The sequence below is a fragment of the Homo sapiens genome, chromosome 12 (genome assembly GCF_000001405.40).
Source record: "Homo sapiens chromosome 12, GRCh38.p14 Primary Assembly".
NCBI classification, from domain to species: Eukaryota; Metazoa; Chordata; class Mammalia; order Primates; family Hominidae; genus Homo; species Homo sapiens.
In genome coordinates, this window is record NC_000012.12 from 130,162,324 (window position 1) to 130,187,097 (window position 24,774).

Consider the following 24,774-nt stretch of genomic DNA (forward strand, 5'->3'; position numbering starts at 1 on the left):
CCGCGGCGGGGCGGCGGGGAGGAGGCTGCCCCGGGCCGCTGCGCTTTCTCATGCAAAGCAGCGGCGGGGCGGGGCGCGCGGCCCGGGGGCGGGGCCTGTCAGCGCTCGGCTTTTCTGCCCCCCTTTGCCTTTTTGCGAGTCTTCTCATCCCGGGACGCAAACCTCGAAACAGCTGCCGGCTGGTCCCGGCCGAGGCCGGCGCAGGGAGGGAGGAGCCGCCCGGGCTGTGGGGGCGCCGCGAGCTGGGCCGGCCTCGGTGTGCCCGCGCCGCCAGCCCGCTCCAGACGCGCCACCTGGGCGCTCCAAGAAGAGGCCGAAGTTTGCCGCGGCCGTGAGTTGGAGCTCGCGCCGGGCCGCTGCGCCGGGAGCTCCGGGGGCTTCCCTCGCTTCCCGGTATTGTTTGCAAACTTTGCTGCTCTCCGCCGCGGCCCCCAACTCGGCGGACGCCGGGCGCGGAGAGCCGAGCCGGGGGCGCTGTGCGCAGCGCTCGGGCCAGGCCGGGCGGGCATGGGCGGGGGCCCGAGCAGGGGTGGAGAGCCGGGGCCAGCAGCAGCCCGTGCCCGGGAGCGGCGGCGCTGAGGGGCGCGGAGCTCCCCGCGAGGACACGTCCAACGCCAGCATGCAGCGCCCGGGCCCCCGCCTGTGGCTGGTCCTGCAGGTGATGGGCTCGTGCGCCGCCATCAGCTCCATGGACATGGAGCGCCCGGGCGACGGCAAATGCCAGCCCATCGAGATCCCGATGTGCAAGGACATCGGCTACAACATGACTCGTATGCCCAACCTGATGGGCCACGAGAACCAGCGCGAGGCAGCCATCCAGTTGCACGAGTTCGCGCCGCTGGTGGAGTACGGCTGCCACGGCCACCTCCGCTTCTTCCTGTGCTCGCTGTACGCGCCGATGTGCACCGAGCAGGTCTCTACCCCCATCCCCGCCTGCCGGGTCATGTGCGAGCAGGCCCGGCTCAAGTGCTCCCCGATTATGGAGCAGTTCAACTTCAAGTGGCCCGACTCCCTGGACTGCCGGAAACTCCCCAACAAGAACGACCCCAACTACCTGTGCATGGAGGCGCCCAACAACGGCTCGGACGAGCCCACCCGGGGCTCGGGCCTGTTCCCGCCGCTGTTCCGGCCGCAGCGGCCCCACAGCGCGCAGGAGCACCCGCTGAAGGACGGGGGCCCCGGGCGCGGCGGCTGCGACAACCCGGGCAAGTTCCACCACGTGGAGAAGAGCGCGTCGTGCGCGCCGCTCTGCACGCCCGGCGTGGACGTGTACTGGAGCCGCGAGGACAAGCGCTTCGCAGTGGTCTGGCTGGCCATCTGGGCGGTGCTGTGCTTCTTCTCCAGCGCCTTCACCGTGCTCACCTTCCTCATCGACCCGGCCCGCTTCCGCTACCCCGAGCGCCCCATCATCTTCCTCTCCATGTGCTACTGCGTCTACTCCGTGGGCTACCTCATCCGCCTCTTCGCCGGCGCCGAGAGCATCGCCTGCGACCGGGACAGCGGCCAGCTCTATGTCATCCAGGAGGGACTGGAGAGCACCGGCTGCACGCTGGTCTTCCTGGTCCTCTACTACTTCGGCATGGCCAGCTCGCTGTGGTGGGTGGTCCTCACGCTCACCTGGTTCCTGGCCGCCGGCAAGAAGTGGGGCCACGAGGCCATCGAAGCCAACAGCAGCTACTTCCACCTGGCAGCCTGGGCCATCCCGGCGGTGAAGACCATCCTGATCCTGGTCATGCGCAGGGTGGCGGGGGACGAGCTCACCGGGGTCTGCTACGTGGGCAGCATGGACGTCAACGCGCTCACCGGCTTCGTGCTCATTCCCCTGGCCTGCTACCTGGTCATCGGCACGTCCTTCATCCTCTCGGGCTTCGTGGCCCTGTTCCACATCCGGAGGGTGATGAAGACGGGCGGCGAGAACACGGACAAGCTGGAGAAGCTCATGGTGCGTATCGGGCTCTTCTCTGTGCTGTACACCGTGCCGGCCACCTGTGTGATCGCCTGCTACTTTTACGAACGCCTCAACATGGATTACTGGAAGATCCTGGCGGCGCAGCACAAGTGCAAAATGAACAACCAGACTAAAACGCTGGACTGCCTGATGGCCGCCTCCATCCCCGCCGTGGAGATCTTCATGGTGAAGATCTTTATGCTGCTGGTGGTGGGGATCACCAGCGGGATGTGGATTTGGACCTCCAAGACTCTGCAGTCCTGGCAGCAGGTGTGCAGCCGTAGGTTAAAGAAGAAGAGCCGGAGAAAACCGGCCAGCGTGATCACCAGCGGTGGGATTTACAAAAAAGCCCAGCATCCCCAGAAAACTCACCACGGGAAATATGAGATCCCTGCCCAGTCGCCCACCTGCGTGTGAACAGGGCTGGAGGGAAGGGCACAGGGGCGCCCGGAGCTAAGATGTGGTGCTTTTCTTGGTTGTGTTTTTCTTTCTTCTTCTTCTTTTTTTTTTTTTATAAAAGCAAAAGAGAAATACATAAAAAAGTGTTTACCCTGAAATTCAGGATGCTGTGATACACTGAAAGGAAAAATGTACTTAAAGGGTTTTGTTTTGTTTTGGTTTTCCAGCGAAGGGAAGCTCCTCCAGTGAAGTAGCCTCTTGTGTAACTAATTTGTGGTAAAGTAGTTGATTCAGCCCTCAGAAGAAAACTTTTGTTTAGAGCCCTCCCTAAATATACATCTGTGTATTTGAGTTGGCTTTGCTACCCATTTACAAATAAGAGGACAGATAACTGCTTTGCAAATTCAAGAGCCTCCCCTGGGTTAACAAATGAGCCATCCCCAGGGCCCACCCCCAGGAAGGCCACAGTGCTGGGCGGCATCCCTGCAGAGGAAAGACAGGACCCGGGGCCCGCCTCACACCCCAGTGGATTTGGAGTTGCTTAAAATAGACTCCGGCCTTCACCAATAGTCTCTCTGCAAGACAGAAACCTCCATCAAACCTCACATTTGTGAACTCAAACGATGTGCAATACATTTTTTTCTCTTTCCTTGAAAATAAAAAGAGAAACAAGTATTTTGCTATATATAAAGACAACAAAAGAAATCTCCTAACAAAAGAACTAAGAGGCCCAGCCCTCAGAAACCCTTCAGTGCTACATTTTGTGGCTTTTTAATGGAAACCAAGCCAATGTTATAGACGTTTGGACTGATTTGTGGAAAGGAGGGGGGAAGAGGGAGAAGGATCATTCAAAAGTTACCCAAAGGGCTTATTGACTCTTTCTATTGTTAAACAAATGATTTCCACAAACAGATCAGGAAGCACTAGGTTGGCAGAGACACTTTGTCTAGTGTATTCTCTTCACAGTGCCAGGAAAGAGTGGTTTCTGCGTGTGTATATTTGTAATATATGATATTTTTCATGCTCCACTATTTTATTAAAAATAAAATATGTTCTTTAGTTTGCTGCTAGTCCCTGGTTCATGGTGAGGTTTCCCTTCTCTGTGTGTGGAGAGACTACAGGACACTTTCTCCCTTTGCTTTTTAAGCAAATTCTGGGGTTGTGCTTCTAGCCAGAGAGTACTGGTTATCTGTATAAAATTGCAGATCAGAGGATTCCAAGATTGGAAGAATCATTCACTTGTGAGTTTCTGAGGAACTGCAGTCAGGCAATGTGTGAAGTTGGAAGTCGTTTCTGTGACTGTTGGTAGCTGGACATGAGGGCTTAGTTGTAGACACACATCACCAAGGAGAGCCTCACCACTAAGCGTGGACCCACTCATGAGCCTGGATTAGCCAGTTTTAATATATTCAGAGAGTAGAGCCAACCGATTAGGAGAATTAAATCATCTGTATTCAATTGACCTGCTAGGCTCAAATGGTACCTAGACAGAGCTGTATACATCAGCCCAAAGTGTGCTGGCTTTGCAGTGACTCTGAACTATGAAGACATTTACAAAACAGATTATAGACCTGGACGGGATAAAATACCTGCTAAGGGTGGCGAATCCTTAAGAGGAAGTTAAGCAGCTTTGGAACTTCATGGTACTTGGTTCTTCTCCAGGGTTTCCTGTTAGAACTGGGTAGCTGTAAAGAACTGCCCCAGGTCTGCTGGTCAAAGGCACAGCTACACTCAAGTTCCAGCCAGAAGGAAGCAAGGGCACAGTGCAGTCCTACTGTGGTGAGGACTCTATTAATATAAAGCAAGCCAAGCTGCCCCTGGGGCCATGCTTTTGTCCAGCTCCAAGTTAAACAAGGAGCTCTGGAAAACTTGGAGCATGGATGACACGCTTACCAACGAGGAGGAGAGCCTGGAGCTAGTGCAGTCTGTTTTCTGAAGAGGGTGTTCAGAACTTCAGCCTGGTAAACATAAGATCACCCATCAACACTAGGGCTGGAAACAGGCTTACATTGGCTTTGAGGGGCTACTGCACTTGGCCGTGAATATTTGCAGGGCACAGGAGCAGGCAGATCGGTGGTTTGGGATCAAGTTTGACAAACGGAGGAAACACCAGCTAGGTAGGCAAAGTAAAAGAATGCAAGATCCCAAAGAGCTTTCAGTGCATTAAAAAAGAAGGCAGAAAAGCTTCAGAAATGCCCCCAAATAAAATTTCTTTGTTGATTGTTTTCGCCTAGTCCCCCAAAAGACTACATAGAAATATTGATGTCTCTGTGCATGTATGGGTATAGCGTTTCCTTTTTGTCACTCTTAGGGAAAATGAAAATAACATATTTGGAATAGAACTTTCAAAAAGTCCAGAAGGGTAACATTGTCCGGATGCTGCTGTGAGCCACAAGGCTAGATATAACACAAAGACATTTGGTTCTAAAATTCCTGGACTACAGCAGCTTCAGACCTGCCCATGCTCAGGTGTGTAGGCTCGAAAATGTGGTCCCAAGGAAAGTCATATTCAACAACATACCTAAGAGCCTTTGTTGTTAGTTATCCCTGAATGTGTCTCACTGTGGATCCATCCCAGAAATGACTGATCTTGTTTACGAATGTGAAGGGATTGTGACATGTGGCTGGGTTGGGCGCAGCTGGGTGAGTTTAACAGTGAGCAGTGCAAGGAGCAGCTGTAGAGCTTCCAAGCAAAATGCTCCAAGGTCTTCCTCTCCCTCTCTCTCTCTCTTCCTCTCTCTCTCTCTCTCTCTCTCTCTACTAAGCTGAAATCTGACCCTCCCTCACATACAGACAGTGAGTTTTAGGAGAAGCATCAAGGCCTTAAGTCAGAAAGCTGGGGAAAAAAAGAAAGGAAAGAAGGGAGGGAGAGAGGGAGGGAGGGAGGAAAGAAGCAAGGAGAAAGAAAGACAGGCAAACATCACTAGTGAAGGAAGGAAGGAAAGAAGGAAAGAAAGAAAGACAGGCAAACACATCACTAGTGAAGGAAGGAAAGAAGGAAGGAAGGGAGGAAAGAAAGAAGGAAGGAAGGAAGGAAAGAAAGAAGGAGAAAGAAAGAAAGACAGCCAAACACATCACTAGTGAAGGAAGGAAGGAAGGAGAAAGGCAAACACATCACTAGTGAAGGAAGGAACGAAGGAAGGAAGGAAAGAAAGAAAAAGAAAGAAAAAAAGAAAGAAAGAAAGGCAAACACATATCACTAGTCCTTAGATTCTCTTTAGCTCAGTACAGGGTTTCCAAAGGAATTGTTGACAGCATTAATTTGGAGATTTCTCAGCATCTGTACCCCACGGCCTTAGTTTTAGAAAAATGGCAACCTGTTTTGCATGGCAGTGGTGGAGTCATAGAAGAAGCCCAAAGAAGTAGATTGTCCAAGATCTACATCCATTCATCCCTCCCTTCCTTCCTCCAGCCTCCAGCCAATCACCACCCACCACATGCTAAGGCCGAGAAACAGAACTGGTACCTGGTCTGTGTGTGGTTTTGCAGTGGACAGGAGAGACCTGCATGGCACATCTTATATGCGCCTCTGTGAGGCATCAGGGCAGGAGGCCCAAAAGTAGATGTATTTCCACAGGGCCCCTAAATGCATACAAGGCAGAAGATTCAGCCTATGTGAGGTCATAGCAAGGGGAAGCTGCAGGGTCATATAGAAGGCAAGAGAAGTTATCAACAGAGCATCAAAACATTCCATCGGGACCCAGACTGGGTCTGGCTCATGATCCCCTATGTAAGCCCACACCTTGCAGAGGGCTTTGGACGTAGTAAGAATAACTACAATAATAGCAATGGCTGTGATAATAGTAATCGTAGCAGCACAGCCTTGAGACCACTTGCTGTGTGCTGAACAGGCTGCTGGGACTATCTCAGTGAATCCTCAACGCATTCAGGGAGGTACTGTCATCAGCCCCACTTTACATGTGAAGACCCTGACACAGAGAGGTTAAGTAAATTCCCAGGGTCACATGACAACTAAAAGACCCAGAACAGGAACTGGGTGGTCTGATAACAGATCTGGAACCCCCAATTCAGTAAGCAATTGTTGAATAAATGAATGAATGAATGAACAATAGCTGACCACTTTACATGCATTAATTCAATCCTCTGACAAACTTTGGTGGTACTGCTCTCATGCTCATAATATTACAGACGAGGAATTTGGAGCACAGAGAAGTTGTGTCACTTACCCAAGGTCACACAGGCAGCAAGCAGAGAGTCTGGCATGCAAACCTGGGCTGTGGGACTCCAGACCTGCACCTCTGACCACGAGGCTTTCCCACGTCTCTGGTTTCTCAGGACTTGACTAAATCATTTCATCTTCACAGCAGCACTGCTGCACCTTTATTCCAAGCAAAAGGGGAACAAGGTTGCATGGCAAAGAGCAAAAGCCACTTGGCCAGTGTGGGGGAGCCCAAGGGAGGAGGCCGTGGCAACCTGCATTTTTGCAGCAGTCGCGAGGGTGCTAGCAGTGGGGCTAGGGGGAAGCAGGTGGATGGAGAGGTCCTTAGAAGGTAGAACCAGGATTAGGTTTTATGTAGAGAGGGAGCAAGAAGGAATGGTCAGGGAGGACCACACCATTTCTGACTTTGGTGGCAAAGTGACATTCATCAAGACAGGAGAAAACCAACAGAGGACAGGCAGTGTGATGGGAAGCAAAGATGAGTGCAGTGTGGATTATTTGCCATCGAGGTGTCTGTAGAGAATTTGGGATGAGGTCATGGTCACAGGCGGGTGTTTGAAATGGTGAGAGTTGGAGCTGTGGTTAACCTCAGGAAGCAAGTGGGTCTCTCCAGGGACAGAGGAGGGAGGAGGGCAGACCTCAGGGCCAGGTGAACAAAGAGGAGGTTGCAAGGGGAGCTGTGACTGGGAGCAGCCCCTTAACCACTTGGGCGCTGGGTGCCCATTTTTACTATAAGAGGATTGGCAGAGGAGATTATGCAAATGGCCTTATCCAACGTCAAAATACGTGATCCGGATAGCACTAAGGGGGAATGCAGCAAGGGTCTTACAGGAGTGACTTAGGAGGATCCACTCCTGCCCGTGATAACTCAGCCTCTGTATCTTTAACTTAACCCTTGGGCTACCCGAGCAAAATTAAAATCAGCTCCAAGAGCTCATAGTTTTAAATTCTCCACTAGCATCTTTGGGGATGCTGTTTCAAGACAGAGAAACAGAAGAGAAAAATCAAGAAGTATTCCTGAGGCCATAGATATTATCCTACATTCTAGATTATTTTCTCAGAAGGAGGAGAAAGAAATACAGAAAACGATAACAGATTGGAGTGCAAACTGGCATCTTACACTTAAAGGATGTGCAGATATAAACATCGTTTAGGACTGAACTATATCTTGCCTTCTCTATGAGCTGGTTTTTAGTTTGACTCAACCACTTACACATTGCTTCACCTTGAGCAAGATACCAGAACTTTCCTGCCTCTGTTTCTTCATCTGTAAAATGGGCATGATAATGGTACCTATCTCACTGGACTGTCACTCACAAATAGCTCATGCTTATTGAACAAGTATTACATGCTCGATTGCTTTAAGTTCTCTGTGTTTATTAATTCGTCTACTCCTCACAACAGCCCTAGGAGAGATGGTACGAGATTAAATAAAACCATTTGTGTGAAGTACTTGGAAGGCTGCTTGGCGCAGAGCAAATGCTCAATAAAGTGATCTATTTTTATGTTTTTTGTCCCTCCCCCCAAAGAAAGTTAAATCCTGTAAGCTAATGAGTAGGGCTCTTTAAAGAAAATGAGTTTTTTTCTTACAGAAACACTTTTTCCAATACTGTGTTCAGGTTCCACAGAAAACCCACTGATCTTTCAAGTTTAAAAGGCAGGCACAGAGCCTCTACAGCAGTGAAAAATATTCTCTGTCTTTCCCTTTGAACACAATAACATCACAGCTGACTTCCCAGGAAATCAGACCTCATGCACGGACACCTCTATACGCAAATGGATAAAGATGGCTGTAATATGGAAATGCAGAGAAACGGTCAGACTTCAGGGAAGCTCGCGAAACACGTGCAGGCAGCATAGTGTGGGGTGTTTTTTAATGTTTTATTAAGAGTGTGAAGGCCAAGCTGGAGGGAGGAGGGAAGGAGACGTTTGAAATCTGAAAGAATAAGTTTCAGCTGCCGAGGTGAGCTGTCGTAATTGGGGACACTCCTAGGAAAATGACACTGTTGGATCCCACACAATGTCCGCAGCCCATCCGGACTTCCCCAAAGTCAGTGCCTGTCGCTTTGTTATTCTAAGACTTTCTGAATGTTTCTGTTTTTATATACATTGTTTGGTACCAGGCTGCCCTCCAGGGGCCTTTGGTTTATAGGAAGGGATTCATAACAGCAACCCTTGCCACACGCCCATCTCCTTCCCAGATGCTGGGGGCTTCAGGGGTTCTGTAGATGGGATGGGATGTTCCCAGGTGGTCTCTTGCAACAGATGTCCTCAAAGGATGCAATTTGTGGCATTTTAGGGAATACTTGCACTTAAAAAAACATCTAAAACCTATCCTAACAATGTTTTAAGTATTTTAGGCAGAACTACAAAGTGATCGACCTTGACATGATGAATCAACACCCATTTTCCAAGGGGGCGATGGTGATCGGGAGCTGCAGGTGCTGACTTTGATCAGAACTGACAAGCTCATGGGGTGGTGCAGCTCTCTCCCCACCCCAGCCCTCCCCATTCCACCCCTGCCCCCAGGGCAGCAGCACCTGTTTACCTCCCATGCTCTCCCTGCACTATTTTCGCCTCTCATAAAACACTTGGATGTTGTTGGCTCTGAATAAGATCATTCATCTGCGAACTGCCTCTCTTCCTGCAGCTCATCTGAAACAGTCTTATTGAACTTGGGTCAATATCACCTCGGTTTCTTTGGATTCCAGGATCACAGCAGAAGGCTCAAATTTGAACTAAACTCAGAAGCATTTTAGGTCAGCAAAACTTTTTTTTTCCCCAAGAGACTTTAAGTATTAGGAATCTAAGTGCCACCTTACTTTTCCACACATGGCACAGGGTAAAGAGAACATGAGATAGCCATGAAGAAGTTGTGATTCTGATTTGCTATCATGATGACCCAGGTCTAAGAAGACAGAACAAAAGCAATGAGAACAAGAGAACACGGCCGATTATAACATTTGACATTCTTCCATGGCAGTCATGATTGTAACCATTTTCAATTAAAAGAAAAAACACAATACTACAGCAATGTTCTGAGCTGAATCTTATCTCTTGAGTAAACAGAGGGCCTCTGAGCAAAAAACCATGCAATAGAAAGGAGGCATCAAAAGAAGTTGGAAATGTAGTATTTTTATTTTTAACTCACCTCTACCTTCTAAAAGCTTTATTCTTTCCAAGACAAAAAGCTTCACGCATGTCCCAGGGGATGAGCCAAGAAAAAAAAAAATCAGGTAAAATAATCCCTCTGGGTCAGGGGCGTGCATGTCACTCGGTCTGGTCAGTGAGATGTGAGGGGAGCTTTCCTAGTGAGACAAAAAAAAAATGAGGGTGTGCGTGTGGGAGTGAAGGAAGGTTCTAATAAAAGATTTTGCTTCATGATAAAAAAAAAAAATGATGAGGAAACCTGTCCTTTTCTTCTGCACACAATGTGGTGTGTGAGAATCACATATGGAGCTATTGCAACCATTTTGTGACCACGAGGCAATACGCCCAACACCAAAGCCAAAATTCTGAGATGGCAGGTAAGCAAGACAGAGCCAGCCTCGTGAGCACTCATTAAGCGACTGCACCCCCAGGATTCTTGTTATGCCAAGTAGCCAACACTGCCTGGATCCCCTGAGAGTTGCAGGTTGGGTGTTCTGTGCCTCTTAGGAAAATACACCTGATGTGGCAAATGAGTCCCAGGTGTCTCAAACCCTACTGTGCACACAAATCACTGGGGCTCTTGCTAAAAGGCAGCTCCTGATTCCTTAGGTCTGGGTGGGACCCCAAATTCTGCATTTGTAATAAGTTCCCAGTTGATGTCGATGCTTCTGGTGCTCCTGACCCCTTTGAGTGAAGAATCTATTTGGCCACCCACCAGAAGTTCAGAACGACCCCACTTACTCCTGGCTGTAATTATATGAACACATCTTGGGCATCACTTCCTGGGTGTCCTGTAGTGGACTAGCTGTCAATTAAAACAATTTCTTATGTTGAGTTAAAATTTGCTTCCTTGTAACTATTTTCTATTATTATCTCTACTTTTGCCACATAGAGCTTCACAGAGCAAGTCTACTTGTTTTTCCATGGGAAAGCCACTTATATATGGGAGCTTATCACAAATGCAGAATTTGGGGTACCACCCAAACCTACTGACTCAGGAGCTGCCTTTTAGCAAGAGCCCCAGTGATTTGTGTGCAGAGTAGGGTTCAAGATGCCCAGGACTAATTTGCTATATCAGGTATATTTTCCTAAGAGGCACAGAACACCCAACCTGCCAACTCTCAGGGGATCCAGAGAGTAATATGTGCTCCCTGGATCTTTCTTTTTATTCTTAAAACTGTTGCCCAGATAACTTGGTTTCATCTTGCTGGCTGTCCCCTGAATGTGTTTACCATGGTCTCAATTCTTGTCAAGGAAGAATGTGCCCAAGTAAAGACAAATCTCCAGGAAGCATCTAACAAGGAGTGGGATCATTAGACACCCAGCAAATGTTATACAAGATAATGGGACACTAAAAGCATTTTTACTAAAACCAGAGACAAAACAAGGCTATCTATGATTACTGGTCACTACCCGGAACATGATTAACCCTGAAGTCAGAGAAGAGGAAAGAAAAAGGAAGGTAAAACCATTGGAAACTGTCATTATTTGCAGCTGTTGTCATTGAAAAGTGACTTAGCTGGAAATAGAATTGATGAGATTTTCATAAGGAGACCAGGACAAAACATAGCTACAAAAACCAATAGCATCCTCATGCACCAGCAGGAACCAGTTGAAAATATGAAGAAAATTTAAGATCACTTATGCAATGCCTACAACAAGCACAAACTATCTAGAAATTAACATAGGGGGTGTGCAAGCCTTTTGGAAGACAATGTGAAGATGTTACTGAAGAGCATAAATAATTGGCTCAAATAATTGGAAGCTCATGTCATGTGCCTGTAAATATGTCAATTATCCCCAAGTTAATTCCTAAACATAATGCAATTGCAACTTTAAAATATGTATTTCTGTGGAACTCCACAAGATGATATTAAATCCATAAAATTTGAGCAGTAGTCAAGGAAAAAACCCTGGAACAGGGATAAGAAAGGACATAATCTATCAGTGAAGTACACTGTGAGTCTGCAGAAACAGACAGCATGGGCCAAGTGTTAAAACAGACAAAATAATGGAACAAAATAGGAAATCCAGAAAGAGTCTCAAGTGCATTTCAAATAAATAAGAAAGAATGGATTACGCAGTCAATACTGTTGAGGCTTAGTTTAGATGTGGGGAAAGTAATATTCCATCCCCACCTCATGCCTTTCACCAAAATACATGTTGGATTGATAAAACATTTAAACATAAAAATAATACAGTAATTAGGGGAAAATGTTATCTAAAGTTTTCATTCAATAGAAAGAAATTACAGGTAAACATTTTTTATAAACTTATCAGGAAAATGTCTTCTTAGCATGACATCAAAGCTAAAGCCATTTTTTAAAAATCATAATTTCACTACATAAAAATGTAAAATTCTGTAATGTAAGAAATCAGTTAATTTAAAAAAAATTGCAAAATCTCCATAAACAAAATTAAAAGACAAAAACTTAAGTTTCTTGTCTGGGTCTATGAGTAGGCAATTCAAATTAGAAGAAATGCTAGTGACCCATAAACCTGTGGAAAGTTATTTAAGCTCACTTCTAATAATCCAAGGGTGCATGCATAAAAAAATGATTATTTGTGCCTAACAGGTTTCCCCGTTTTTTTTTTCTTTGAGACAGAGTCTCTCTCTGTTGCCCAGGCTGGAGTGCAGTGGCATGATCTCGGCTCACTGCAACCTCTGCCTCCCCAGTTTAAGCAATTCCCCCGCCTCAGCCTCCCAAGTAGCTGGGATTACAGGCGTCCACCATCATGCCCGTCTAATTTGTTTGTATTTTCAGTAGAGACAGGGTTTCACCATGTTGGCCAGGCTGCTTTTGAACTCCTGAGCTCAAGTGATCCGCCCGCTTCAGCCTCCCAAAGTGCGAGGATTACAGGTGTGAGCCACCGCGCCTGGCCAGCTTGGTACTTTTTTTTTTTTTTTTAAAGCGGATAATACCTGGATTTTGCTCAGGCATGGAGAAATGGACTCCCTGTATCACAGAGTGGAACCATAAAGTAGCTCACCCTTTCTGGAGAACAAGTGTGATGTGTACCTAGTGCCGTTTGCAGTATACATGTCCTTTGACCCAGCAATTCCACTTCCAAATAAATGTTGTATTGAAAATTGGGAACAGTCTAAATATATACCGGTAAGCTGACTATTCAAGCCAATTATGGAAAATCCTTAAAATAGAGTAACATGTAGTCATTAAAGTAATTACGTAGAACCGTGTCATTAACATGGGAAAATGGCCACACGGCACTGCTAAGCAGGCTGATCTTCAGACAGGACGGACCAGGGCAGCCCTTCCAGTTTGTTTTGTCTGGTGTGTTTTTGAATTTGTCCACACCCCTATGCCAAATCAGTTGTTGAACATTTCAAATATTGCCCTGTTGTTACTACACAAAGCAAGTTATATAATTCCTGAATAAGACAAGCCTGGGCAACACAGGGAGACCCTGTCTCAAAAAATAAAAAGAAAGAAAAGGAAGAGAGGAGGGAAAGGAAGGGGAGGGGTGGGGAGGGGAGGGAAGGGAAGGGGATGGGGAAGCAAAGGAAGGCCGGGTGCAGTGGCTTTCGCCTGTAATCCCAGCACTCTGGGAGGCTGAGTGGGCAGATAACTTGGGGTCAGGAGTTTGAGACCAGCCTGACCAACATGGTGAAACCCCGTATCCACTAAAAATACAAAAATTAGCTGGGCATGGTGGTGGGCACCTGTAATCCCAGTTATTCAGGAGGCTGAGGCAAGAGAATTGCTTGAACCCAGAAGGCAGAGGTTGCAGTGAGCTGAGATCACACCATTGTACTCCAGCCTGGGCGACAGAGTGAGACTTCATCTCAAAAAAAAAAAAAAAGAAAGGAAGGCTGGCAGACTTTGCAGTATCTGCTTATTCCGGAGCAAGTGTTAAAATGGTGTCTGTTTCATGAGTGGGCATGTGCAGGTTGCCATCCTAATATTCATTTCACCCCTTTTCTCTTTGGGTATCCATGCAGCTGAGGCAATGTTGTCCCCACCCCGTCTCCACTGGCTCACTTCCTTGAGATATCCACAAAGGTGGGCATTGACGGAAACCAACCCAATCAGTGTGAGGCTCAGGCATGGGTGGGCACAGACACCCTCTCTTCCTCTGGGTCACGCAGCACAGGACGTCGGGTTCAAAGGGCCTCTGCCATGTTTACTATTTCAAGGGCCCCCGATCCCAGGAGAAGGTCAACACTTGGAGTGGGGCTATTTTCAGAAACTCCGACACTAAGCCATGGTGACATGACACACCTCGAATCAAACAGTGCCTGGATAAAATCTCTCCTGTGCTTTTCAGTCCATAAATTACTTTTTAGAGACAGTTCCGTGGGGTTTTCTCTTACTTGCAACCAACTGAGACACGAATATAATTGTCACAAAAGCAGCTGCCTCACTAGGCAGGAGACCAGCCAGGGGAGGGGAGTCGATTCACTCAGGGTGTTCGGGTTCTTTGTTATTCCACAGTGAAACACCTCAAAACTCAGCTTCCTCAAATGACTCTTTTATTCATATTCAGCTCACAATTTGGCAAGTCAGGAATGTTGTCAGGCATTGGCTGGGTCATTTGTCTCTGGCCACCTTGGCAATGGCTGGGGTGGCTGGGGCTGGAGGATACACTTCTGCTTTTCATTTCACTCATGAACTTGGCCTCTTGCTGCCACCTTGGTCTCTCTTTTCCCCCAAACCCCACATGGTGTCGCCTCCTCTTGGGCCCCCTCACCTGGCTGTAGCTTGGGCTTCCTCACAGCATGGCTGGCTCAGAGTAGTTAAACTTATTTTTTATTTTATTTTATTATTATTATACTTTAAGTTTTAGGGTACATGTGCACCACGTGAAGGTTTGTTACATATGTATACATGTGCCATGTTGGTGTGCTGCACCCATTAACTCATCAAGAGCAGTTAAACTTCTTACACGGCAATTGGCTCTGCCCAGAGAGAGCATTCTTTAAGAGAAAGAAAATGGGGCTGGCCAGGGCACTCCCTCTGCCATGCTGGTTTTTTTTTTTTTCTTTCTTTCTTTATGAGACAGGGTCTTGCTCAGTTGTCCAGGGTACAGTGCTGTGGTGTGATCAGAGCTCACTGACTCCTGGGTTCAAGTGATCCTGCCAACTCATCCTCCTGAGTAGCTGGGACCATAGGTGTGTGCCACCATGCCTGGCTAATGTTTAATTTTTTTTGTAGAGAAGGGACCTCCCTATGTTGCCCAGGCTGGTCTCAAACTCCTGGACTCAAGCGATCCCTTGCCTCAGTCTCCCTAAGTGGTGCAATTACAGGCATGAGCCACTGCACCAGGCAGCCCCAACCTCCCAGGCTCAGGGATCCTCCCAGCTTAGCCTCCCAAGTAGCTGTGACTACAAGCATGTGCCACTGTACCCAACTGATTTTTAAAATTTTTTGTAGAGATGGGGTCTTGAACTCCTGGGCTCAAGCCATCCTCCCTCCTCGGCCTCCCAAAGTGCTGGGATTACCACCATGCTCTTTTGACAAAGCAGTCACGTAGCCCACCTAACTTCAAGGAGAGGGAAGTGAGTCCCTGCCTCTCAATCAGAGAAGGGGATAGGACCCTGTGGCCTTTCTTACCACCCGGGACAGGGTGCCCCTAAATCCACAAAGAGAAAGAGCGGAAACGGCCTCCTTTCATCTCCTGCCCCGGACGCCCCATCTTTTGTTTTCTCATAAAATGGCAACAGAAGTTGATTCTAGATAGAATAATTAACTCCTTCCTGCCACAGTGATCCCGTCCCTGCCTTTTGCGGCACGCTGATTTTTAACCAGAGGAACTTCTCCTTGAAAGATGCTGCTGTACTGCAATTTTGTCAAATGTGCTGACAGTTTGGGAGCCGCTGGAGGACTCCGGATCTGGTCTCCAGGCGGACGAGGGACACTTTTTGTGGGCTGAGTTTGTTTACTCCTGGAAAAACCTGGCTTCCTGTTTCTAAGGGGGAACAGGTTTAAAAGTCCTCATAAAAAAGGCTCTAAGGCCCCTTCACATCAAATGGCTCTTCCACAGTAACATTTGATGAGTTAAGTGTAAAGGAATCAGAAACATAAGGATTAAATTTCCTTGCAGATACACATAGGTTATAAATTAGGGGGGGAAGAATCATGTCAAAACATGTTTTGGCATTTCGCCAAGACTGAAAAGATTTGAAAAACGGTTTTGAGATGGTAGATGTAATTGTGTTCTCTCTCAGCCCATCCTTCCCGGTTTGTAAGATTTATTTATTTTTCAGTAAACGTCGGAAGAATTGTAGACGCGCGTGGAGGGAAGTGGTTCTAATTCAAGTTACTGAGATTTTAAAGGTTTATTCCTGAGAGATGGTCCTGGATGGGGACATTCAGCATTCTTGTTTTGTGTTGGTTTTAATTGAGATTTCAAAGAAAGGCCCGTAGCTTTTATAGCTTTCGGTATGTTTCTTATTTAGATTAAGGGCCCAGGAAGCACAGGGCTCGTTAAGTTCAGTGGTCTATCCGAGGATGGCTGCCTGGCCTTTCTCTCACCTGTTTTCAAGAGATTTATGCATCTGCAGGCTTTACATTTCATCATGGATGGAGCAGATTCTCTGCTTCAGCAGATGGACAAAGAAGTTGAAGCTCCGATACTTAGGAGGTATACAGAAGTAAAACCAGAGACGTGGGGATTTCAGCTTGAGAGGATATTTCTGGAGAAATATTTCACGATCTAGGACTGCAAAGATATAAACACACTTTTTTTTTTTTTAAGATTTTCATTTAGGAAACCTTCACGAATCTAAGACTTGTTAAAAATGGGTCCAGCAGCCGGGCACGGTGGCTCATGCCTGTAATCCCAGCACTTTGGGAGGCCGAGGTGGGCGGATCACGAGGTCAGGAGTTCAAGACCAGCCTGTCCAACATGGTGAAACCCCGTCTCTACTAAAAATACAAAAATTAGCCGGGCGTGGTGGCGGGTGCTTGTAATCCCAGCTACTCGGGAGGCTGAGGCACTGAGGCAGGAGAATCACTTGAACCCGGGAGACGAAGGTTGCCGTGAGCCGAGATTGCACCACTGCACTCCAGCCTGGGCGAAAGAGCGAAACTCCACCTCAAAAAAAAAAAATGGTCCAGCGATGCTGTCAAGACTGGAGTTTTTGTGTACGCCTGTGCAGCTGACCCACATAATTTCTTGAGTTACTTAAAAAAGACGACGAGTTCTGAGCCAACTGAAGAGCACAAGGGACACCACAGGGGCCACCCAGAGACCTGGATTTCCCAGCTTTAAAAAATAAAATTGACCACAGGAATGTTTTCCGAGGCAACTCCACCTACTAATTATGTTGTAGCTCCACCTGTGATCAGCAGAGACAAGAAAGACTGGTCACCAGGACATGAAAAACAGCAAAAACCTGTCCCTCTGGGCCACCGTTGACCGAGGAGCAGGCCTGCAAGATGTGTGGGGTGAGTGCACCGTTCCTAGAAATACCTTTCAGTTCCTGCTGACCAGGGCACAGGTCAGCTCTGAGCACAGCCGAGTGCACTCAAGTGGCAGCAACGATTTAGCATCACCTGGATGCCTCTGTCCATGTTCGGTGTTGTGGGTGTAGAAGGAGGTGGAGGAAGCACAGAGGAAGAGGAGGTTCGTGCATCCACCGGCGGCCCATCCTCAGCACTGAGTAGGTCCGAGAGGGGCTTCAGTGTAGGTCTTTCTCCCGTTGTCTCTTCCAATCCCCTCTCTTCCTCTCTGCCCCCAGAAGGCTGACCCCACACACCACATGTCTCAGGGCCCCCTGACCTCTGGATTGGGTCCAGTTTGGCCAACGGAGTGGTACCAGCAAGGGAGACTGGAGGACGGGGAGAGAGTGAGCTTCCAGGGCACGGGTTCCGCCCTGTCCCTCCTGGCCAGGCCTAGGGTGGGGGCCGTCCCTTCCCTGCAGCTTCAGCTGCTGCGGGCTGTGGCTCCTCCATCGAGGCTGCAGCTCTCCGGAGCAGGCTTCTGCTGCCCAGCTCCTCCTGGACCCCATCAGACTGGTTCCATTGCAGCGACACCCACTTGGCTGTTCTCTCTGGGCCTCGCCATTCACTTATGTTTCTCTTAACTCTACCCACACTGTATGAGACAGGGTTCTCTAGAGGGCCAGAACTAATGGAATAGATATATAGATAAAGGGGAGTTTATTAAGTATGATGGCGAGGTCCCACAATAGGCCGTCTGCAGGCTGAGGAGCAAGGAGAGCCAGTCCAAGTCCAAGTCCAGTTCAAGGGATCATCCAGGAAGCATCCAGCACTGGAGAAAGGTGTAGGCTGGGAGGCTAGGCCGGTCTCTCTTTTCACATTTTTCTGCCTGCTTATATTTGAGCTGAGCAGGCAGCAGATTAGATCGTGCCCACCCAGATTGAGGGTGGGTCTGCCTTTCCCGGCCCACTGACTCAAATGTGAATCTCCTTTGGCAACAGCCTCACAGACACACCCAGGATCAATACTTTGTATCCTTCAATCCAATCAAGTTGACACTCAGTATTAACCATCACACACACCTTGATCAAGAGTCCCTCTCTTAAGTCCTTTCCAGGGAAACCATCTGTCTTAGGGAGCTCATGCTGCTCCAGTAAAATACCATGGGCTAGGTGACTTCACCAACAGACCTTTCCTGCTCCCAGTTCTGGAGGCAGCACAGGATCAATCATACAAGATCAAGGTGCCAATTCAGTTCCTCATCAGGGCTCCATCCCTGGAGTGTACACGGCAGCCTCCTTACTGTCTATCTTCGGCGTGTGTGGGTGAAGTGTCAGGCACTTTCCTCTTCCCATCCCACCATGGGGCCCCCACTCTCCTGGCCTCATCTCACCCCAGTCACTCCCCCAAAGCCCTCACCTGCTAATACCATCACATGGGGGGCCAGGCCTTCAACACATGAATTCTGGGGGGACACAGCCCATCTGCCCTCTGAGAGCCACCCGTCTCCTGCAGGAAACCCAATAGACCATCTTCTCACATCAACTTAAGCTATTTAACTCATTCCCACAGATATTTATTGAATACTGCTAGGCATGGGGGAAAAGCAAACAAACAACTCTTACCACTATAAGTCTATGAAAGCTTATCAGGCATTTAATACATAAGATCTCCTTCCATCCCCACAAAAATATTGTTATTCCAGTTTTCCAGGAAGGAGAAATGAGGGTTAAAGAGAAAGTAGGGAAAAGAAAGGATGCTTGCATAGCCAAGGCCACCAATCAGGAGCAGAACAGTTATCAATCTTCAGGTTGATTTTTCTTTAAATAATTCATTGAGGTGAAATTCACACAACATAAAGTTAAACATTGAAAGTGTATCACTCGGTGACACGTAGAACATTCACAGTGCGTGCAACTACCACTTCTCTGCGGTTCTAAAACATCGTCACTCCAAGGTAAACCCTCCACCCAATAATGAGTCACTTGCCATTCTTCCCTCCCCTGGCCCCTGGCAATCACTCTGCTTTCTGTCTCTCCGGGTTTGCCTCTTCTGGACAGCTCGTAGAAATGGAATCACACAGCGTGCGGCCTTTTGTGTTGGCATCTTTCACTCAGCATGATGTTTCTTGAGGTTCATCCATGTTGCAGAGTCAGTCAGAGCTTCATTCCTTTTCATGACCGAATAATATTCCTTCATATGGACAGATCATACTTTGTGTTTTATGCATCCGTGGATGGACATTTGGGCTGTCTTCACCTTCCAGCTGTTGTGAACTGTTCTACTGTGGCATGTGTACACGTATTGGTTTGAACATCTGTTTTCAATTTTCAGGGTATATACCTATGAATAAAATTGCTGGTTTACATAATAATTCTATTTTTAACTTTTTGAAGAACCACCAAACTGTTTTCCACAGAAACAGGACCATTTTTACATTCCTACCAGCCATGTACAAAGGTTTAGGTTGATGTTTTTAATAGCTTTCCTGAGCTATAATTCACATACCATACATTCATCCATAGAAGGTGTGCAATTTCATGGCTTTTGGTATGTTTACAGAATTATGCAATCATCACCATCATCAATCTTAGATCATTCATAGCACCCTAGAAAGAAAACCATGGCTTTCACAGTCGGCCCCCACACTCCCCTCCTCAGTCCTAGGCAAACACAAATCTAATTTCTGTCTATAGATTTTTCTATTCTGGACATCATCTCATGTAAATCATACAGTGTGGGGTCCTTCATCACTGACTTCTTTCACTTAAGAGAATGTGTCAGCATTCATTCATGCAGCAGATAAATCCATACTTTCCTTTTCATGGCTGCATAATATTTCATCGTGGGGATTGACCGTGTTTTGTTTACCCATTCATCCTCTCTCTGATGGACACTTGGATTATTTCAATTTTTGGGCCATTGTGAATAATACTGCTATGAGCATTTGTGTACTTCTTCTGTGTGGGACATGTGTTTTCCTCTCTTTTAAGGTTGATGTTTTCATTCCATTGGATAGTAGGTTTGTTTGATGTAGAGAATAGACAGTTCTGTGTGGAGAATTTCCAAAATGTCATGGACCAGTGGGAAAGATTTTTTTTTCCTTTGGAACAGATTGGCCATAGTAGAAAATCATGCTTTTCTACCTCAGCTGAGCATTTTCTGCTTCTGTGGGTCATTCCAGTCCCATCTGATTGACAATCCCATTTCCCAGTGGGTCCTCCTCCCCCAGGCCAAGCTCCACCCAGCCCCCCTCATTCTTCCCTGAAGACCTGGAGGGTCACCTGATGGTCCTTCTCCACTCCATATGGCTCCAAGTTAATGCTTATTCTCACCATCCTTTCACTTCCGCCTGTGGCCCCATATCTCCTGCGCGAACCCTTGGACCTATTCTCTCGATCCCAGTCCCTCCTCTGTTTACCACAGCTCGTTTTCTTTCCCCAAAAAAACTTAATAAATAAACCCCCTGTAAGCAGTTGAATGAATCGTGCCACCCAATAGGTACATCCAAGTCCTTAATCCTTGGTTCTGTGAATGTGACCTTCCTTATTTGGAAATAGGGCCTTTGTGGATGTAAGTACGTTAAGGATCTTGGGATGTGATCATTCTGGGTTTAGGGTGGGCACTAAATCCATAACTGGAGAAAGGAGAAGGAGATTTGAGACACGGAGATGCAGGGAGAAGACTGTGTGAAGATGGAGGCAGGGATTGGAGTGATGCAGCCGTGAGCTGGGGCCACCTGGAGCCACCAGAACCTGAAAGAGGCAGCAAGGACCCTCCCCTAGATCATTTGGAGAGGGCATGACCCTGTGGACACCATGGTTTCAGACTTCTGGTCTCCAGATCTGCTCAAGAATAAATTTCTGCTGTTTGAAACCACCTAGTTTGTGGTGGTTTGTTATGGCAGGAAACTCACACACGTCTCCAAAAGTGTGCTTAGAGGGGCTGTTAGAACACAGATTCTCAAGCTGGACAGACTGAGTCTAAATCCTGCCTCCTGCCACCTGCTAGCCGTGTGACCTTGGGCAAGGATGTAACATTTGAGTGGCTCATTGGTAAGAGAAGGACACTATGGCATCTTGGTCATGGGGCCTAGAGGACCAAGTAGGTCCATAAAAGTGACTGTCAGAGCAGCCCCTGCTGCACACGGCTGCAGCCCCACCTGCAGCTGGGATTCCACCCCTGCCTCCTCCAGCCATGATTTTCTTGTCTGTTCATCATCTCAACGCAGACCCTTGGCGCCATCTGTAAGCCTACTTCTCCTTCGCTCCTGTCTCCAGGGAATAGGGGTCCCATGTGGTCTGCAATGGCACGCTCGCCGGCTCCCTATCCCACACTGCTCCCGGGCTCTGGCTGATTTTGAGACCCCCCACAACCACCATCTGGATCCCGAGCCATGGCCTCTGGTCTCCGACGGGTCTGCTTGTCTGCAGGTCTTCTGCCCGGAGCCCTGACACACGCAGTGGAGTTCACACATTCACAGGGTCTGTGCTCCCCTGGTGGGTGGGACCACATTTCTGCTGGTTTAAGAGGTGTTCAATCTATGGGCACAATTATCTAGCTGGGGAGTAGCATGGGGCAGGGAAAGAATAAAGAACGCTGCCTCCCCCAGCCTCAGGAATTGGTAGGCGAGGTCCTGGGGCCTCGTTCAAACCAAGGCCCAGAGACACATCAGGGGCAGCCACAGGCCTCCCAAGCCTCCCTGCAGTGCCCCGTGGCATCTGGGATGGTCCTGGGTCACCTTTCCCTGTTTTTTCCTCAGCCCCCCGAGACAGCAAGTCACTCTAGGCCAAGGGGCTTCTGCTGTGTCCACCGGGTGTAGCTTCCTTCAGAGACACAATAAAGGCTGCACAGAGGCAGGACGTATTAGGGTGTAGAGGACACACTCCCAGAACTGCCACGCTCAGCTCGCCCTGTGCCTCCCGCATGGCAGGTCCTCTGGGGGGCTGAGGAGGGAGTCTCGTCCCTTGATATCAAAACAAAACCATGCACAGAATCCCTTTGGCTTTGGGATTTAGGCTATGAAACGCAGGGCATGTCCTGCCATGTGATGGCCTATATTTGTCTCAGATCAGTCACACATTGGCATCTTCCAGAGATGGGCCCCCCCTCTCCCCGTCCACTCTCCCATCTTAGCTGTCTGCAGTCGTCAGAGGCAGGAGAGACACAGACTGCTGAAGGGCGGTTGAGGAGCTGGCTCCAGCTGCTCGGCCCTGCCCTGTTGTCTCAGCACAGGTGACCTGCTGCTCATAGGCTAAAGAGCATGAGGATAGCAAGGAGAATGCGCACCAGCATCCTGAAGGCAGAGCCATTTCTCCAATGCAGCCATCTGGGAAGTGAACTTCGTGGTGGAGGACCAGGACCAAACGCGGCCCCTTCCGCTCCCTCCCCACCCTGCCCATCCCTTGAGCTGACTCAGACATTTAGGGGCAAACAGACAGAGACAACTGCACCTGGGTCTGTAATGAAATACTAACTTCAAAAGGCTCAGCAGCTGTTTTCTGGAACTTGGCAGCCTGACTCCAAAGTCCCCTCAGCCCTCAGTCCAGCCTCTTTATTGCCAATGCCTGACACGCTGGCCACAGAGCAAAGTCGAGGTGAACATTTGACCATCCAAAGCCAGGGGAGCACAATCATTGTCAAGAGGTTTCTAAAAGTCCTCTTCATCCATAGGTGTATGAATTGCTCCATCTTCTCGATTCCTCACGTTTCCCTCTGAGCACACTGCCTTACCCCGCTGTATCAGACAGGTTTCTTGGTAGCAAGCCACAGAAACTCCCTCTTCAGCCATTTTCAGCTAAGGGGTGGGGGTGTGGGGTTGGAGGGGAACGGACATGAACAGCAGGTCAGAAGTCCAGAATTTGGAACCAGGAACCGTAGGGCAGATAGTCTTGCCCCGTGCTCCGTGTGGCTACAGTTAACATAATAATTCCCAGCTGTCCTCAGTTTCCTACCCTGATCCCCAAGAACTCTAGTTGAGACTGTCCCACTGGCTAGGCCTAAACCGGCTGCCATTCCTCGGTTAAGCTGGGTGGGAAAGGAGAGAAGCTTTCGGACTTCTGTAGCGGGAAGTAGGGTCTCCTTCCCAAGGTAATCGTGAGGATGGATTCCCAAAAGTATGACTCTTCCCAAAAGTCGGACTTTTTTGGGAAGAGAGGTCTAGATGATGCGTAGCCTCCTTCCCTGCAAAATGGCTGGCATCGACAATGCAATGATAACACTGAAGGTCCCGGGAACGCCCTGCAGGGTGTGAAGTCAGTACACACTGGCCACACTACCGGCCGGGGTGCTGTTTCCCTCCTCTTTGTGATCCCAGGTTTCCCTGCAGAAGCCTCTGTATGGTCCATGCATCTTGTAGGCACTCTCCCCGGCTCCATGCCTCCCTGCAGAAGGCTTTGTATGGCCCATGCATCTTGTAGGCACCTCTCCCCGACATCACGCCTCCCTGCCTAGGCTGCCTTCATGGCTCTCTACAGAGGGCAGCCCAAGTTCAAGCAGCCGGAACCGGCAGCTGGCTGGAGCTTGGGTGGGGAGCGAGTTCTGCTGGCCAAATCTGGTAGGAGATTCTCCATGGGACATGAACACCGTCCGGCTTTATACCAGACAACAGGCAAGCCAGTCCCCTCAGGAAGGCAGCCTCTCGCTGTGTGGAGGGCTGCGGGGCAAGGAGGGGCCACTATCTGTGCCAGCCTAGATTGCAACTGAGCAAGAGATTAAGTTGAGGGCTTTGACCTTGAGGCAGCCTTCACAACTCCGGGACGCGAGACACCAGAAACCTGACTCTGACTTCAGGCCAGGCGAACACACTTTGCGCATTTCTCTCCGGAGCTGTGTAAGTCACAGCGGAGATTTCCTCTCTGACCGGGGCTGTGTTACCCAATAGGCCACCTAGTAACACGCCTGGGATGCATGACGGAAAAGCAGGGATGCCAGGAATTTATTTTTATGAAGTTGGTATTTCAAAAGGAGCATTGAAGAGAAGTCAACATGGCAGGTGCTGGCGGTTTGCCGGACTTCCTTAGGCTTACCCCACATGTTAGAATTGCTTTGGTTTTGAATTATTTGCGGGGATGGGAGCTAGTGTATGTTTTTCTGTGTCAAATCTCTTTGAAAGTCTCTATCCAACCTGCCTCGCCAAGATAAAGGCCAGTGAGACGTGATACTGGCACACTTGCTGCTGTAGCAATGTTTTTCTGTTTTGCTCTCCTCATTGAGGCGAAAGTTTTAAAATTATCCTTACTGTTTTTGTTGTTGGCCTGAAAGGTTAAAATTCATTTGGGTGAGCTTCCAACAATGACTGGTTTCTCTGCAGCCAATACCTTCCACTGATTTACACCTGTGCTCTCAAAGTGCGAGAGCTTCAGATCCACTCAAAGTGGATGGGTGTGTGTGATTGGCCAGCCACATCACCGCCACCTGGGACCTGGTTAGGAGCACGGACTCAGCCCCACCTCAGACCTGCTGAGTCAGAAGCCCTGGAGGCAGGCCCCCAAGATCTGCTTTAACAAACTCTCGGGAGGGTTCCAAGGCACGTTACAGTTTGAGAACCAATGGATTTGATTAGAAAAAAAGCAAGAGATGAGACAGACGTGTCCCCCAAGGAGGACGTGTCTCCTTCGCAGGTGCACCATCCATGGATTCCTGGGAGCTTAGTGGACCCCTCAGCAGGCGAGGCAGGAAAAGGGTGAGTCAGC

General features: G+C 48.6%; 1 protein-coding gene across 1 annotated transcript, besides 3 other annotated features; it reads left to right on the forward strand.

The window, feature by feature from the left end:
* The first annotated feature begins 140 nt into the window (after positions 1-140).
* Positions 141-3,417, forward strand: FZD10 (frizzled class receptor 10). Its single transcript, NM_007197.4, has one exon. The coding sequence runs from the start codon at positions 620-622 to the stop codon at positions 2,363-2,365; it is 1,746 nt and encodes a 581-aa protein (NP_009128.1). The 5' UTR covers positions 141-619; the 3' UTR covers positions 2,366-3,417.
* Positions 1,341-2,336: an enhancer, noted in NCBI's record as "H3K27ac-H3K4me1 hESC enhancer chr12:130648209-130649204 (GRCh37/hg19 assembly coordinates)". NCBI's record gives its function as "activates a minimal SCP1, AML or CMV promoter by ChIP-STARR-seq in naive H9 embryonic stem cells {active_cell/tissue: H9 hESC(naive)}" and the evidence as "EXISTENCE:reporter gene assay evidence [ECO:0000049][PMID:30033119]".
* Positions 2,422-2,967: an enhancer, noted in NCBI's record as "NANOG hESC enhancer chr12:130649290-130649835 (GRCh37/hg19 assembly coordinates)". NCBI's record gives its function as "activates a minimal SCP1, AML or CMV promoter by ChIP-STARR-seq in naive H9 embryonic stem cells {active_cell/tissue: H9 hESC(naive)}" and the evidence as "EXISTENCE:reporter gene assay evidence [ECO:0000049][PMID:30033119]".
* Positions 20,964-21,642: an enhancer, noted in NCBI's record as "H3K4me1 hESC enhancer chr12:130667832-130668510 (GRCh37/hg19 assembly coordinates)". NCBI's record gives its function as "activates a minimal SCP1, AML or CMV promoter by ChIP-STARR-seq in naive H9 embryonic stem cells {active_cell/tissue: H9 hESC(naive)}" and the evidence as "EXISTENCE:reporter gene assay evidence [ECO:0000049][PMID:30033119]".

Bases quoted from the DNA above. Each gene is read 5' to 3' on its own strand.
- FZD10 (NM_007197.4), top strand. From the start codon at position 620: ATGCAGCGCCCGGGCCCCCGCCTGTGGCTGGTCCTGCAGGTGATGGGC.